At 52.2% G+C, this 2,011-nt stretch overlaps 1 annotated feature.

Moving 5' to 3' along the window:
• Positions 217–511: an enhancer, noted in NCBI's record as "tiled region #15217; HepG2 Activating non-DNase unmatched - State 4:PromP, and K562 Activating DNase unmatched - State 22:ReprW". NCBI's record gives its function as "activates a minimal TATA promoter and a strong SV40 promoter by Sharpr-MPRA in HepG2 cells, with weaker activity in K562 cells {active_cell/tissue: HepG2 | K562}" and the evidence as "EXISTENCE:reporter gene assay evidence [ECO:0000049][PMID:27701403]".

Raw genomic sequence — 2,011 nt, 5'->3', positions numbered from 1 at the left:
AGCATGAAAGTGAAAATCTAGGGTTGCTGCAGCTGTGTAGACTGAGACTCAAGAACACAGAGCCAGGAGCAGTGGCTCAGTCTGTAATCCCAGAGACTTGGTAGGCTGAGGTGAGAGGATCCCTTAAACCCAGGAGTTGGAGGCCTCAGTGAGCTATGATCGCATGACTGCACTCCAGCATGGGTGACAGGGTGAGACCTCGTGTCAAAAAAAAATTTTTTCATAAAAAACTTTTCAAAGAACATGAAAAGGAAAGGAGCATTGAAAGACAAAGCACAGCTGACACCTGACACCACTGGCCAATCTCCTGGATCCAGCGCTTCCTGAAAGCGGATGTATCTCTAAGTGTCTCATTACACAAGTCAATAAAGTCCTGACAAATACAGAGTCCAGAGCTCAGAGAACAAAAACAGAAACAGGGCTGGATTGAAGCAAAGGGTAGGGGTAAGGAGAAAAGGCACGGAGGAACCAGTCCTGAGGGATGACCTTGAGTGGGTAGGGGCTTGGAGGGGAGGGGTGGACATGGACTGTCCTTGCAGAGTCTCAGGATGCCCAACTTCCAACTTCCTACGGAAACACAGCCTTCAGGGAATACACTCTGCCTCTTTTCCCAGAAAGCGACCTCTTGTAGCTAAGTTTCTACCTGCCCTTCTGGAAGTTCTGCATGCAGATATCATTAGGTATCATTAGTGCCTCAGAGCCAATCCCGGACAGGAGACTAAAGCTGCTGTATTTGTTACTCAAATGCCAGAGGCACTCATTATCCCCAGTGAACTTTACAGAAAACATGCTGTGTGTCATTCTTCCTCCTCCCCCTCCCTCCTGCACCATCTCCTCACCCAGCCGCCATATCTACATCCTCTGAGCTTGTCAGCCCGACTGCTTAAATGTCTCTTAAACCCACCCACACTTCTCTCCATCCCCACCGCCTCCCCCCGAGTCCAAACTCCATCATCCCTCCCTGGACCATGTCAAGACCCTCACGCACACGTTTGTTCAAAGCAGAGGGACTGGGACCCTACACAAGGGGCTCAAAAACTCTCCAGTTCAAGAGCTCTGAGCTGGGAAACGTGACTTCACCCTTAGCCCAAGTTTGTCCTGGGGGTGGACAGTCTGGCCCCCTGGGCAGTGCAGTAAGCAGCTCTAAGCAGGGAGAGGGGTGAATACCTGCAGGGCAGTGGGTCCCAGCTTTGGGCTGGAGCCCCACATAGACTCTGGGAGGACACATTGCCCTCCACTCTCCTAACAGAAGGTTTCAACATGAGGCTGGTTCACAGGGCAGGACATCTACCCTTCTTTTTTTTTTTTTTTTAACAAAAACGGGATCTTGCTGTGTTGCACAGGCAGGTCTCGAACTACTGGGCTCAAGCGATCTTCCCACCTGTGCCTCCATAAGTGCTGGGATTACAGGCGTGAGCCACCACTCCTGACTTCATCTGCCTATTTTGATCTGCAGCAGGCTTCATATGGGGACTGAAATCCACCCCCCCCACCTCAGTCCCACCACCCTCACACACACGCACACATGTGCACACACACACACAGCTGCGCATTGCCCAGTGCTGCTGCAGTGTACAGGGTCCCAGGTCATCAATATCCAGCTCTGGGTGTGGGGAGGGGACAAAGGGACCTGAAATTGCAGGTTGGGAAGGGAGTGGAAAGGGCAGGTGAGCTCTAAGGAGGAAGAGGTTGGGCTTGCCCATCTCGGGGAAGTGTAGGCTGGGTCTGCGATGTTCATAGACAGCCCAGCCCTGAGACCACAGAGGAGAAAGGGCTTGGAAGGAAAATCAGATCCCACAGGGAGACCACATTACTCCAGGTCAGATGCCCAAAAAGGAGAAAGCTCTCAGCATCTGCCCCTCTAGAGGGTCTCAAGCATCTCCACCTCCAGCCACACCCTAAGTAAAGGCTCCTCCTCTCTGAGAACCTGAGGATTCCTGTCCCTCCTCAAGCTTCAGGATGTGAATGTCTGGAATCCTGGTTGGAAGGTCTGGAGTGAAGTGTTCCTCCC

The sequence above is a fragment of the Homo sapiens genome, chromosome 20, assembly GCF_000001405.40.
Source record: "Homo sapiens chromosome 20, GRCh38.p14 Primary Assembly".
Lineage (NCBI taxonomy): Eukaryota > Metazoa > Chordata > Mammalia > Primates > Hominidae > Homo > Homo sapiens.
The sequence above is the reverse complement of the archived record's forward strand: the minus strand, read 5'-3'. Positions and strand labels throughout refer to the sequence as shown.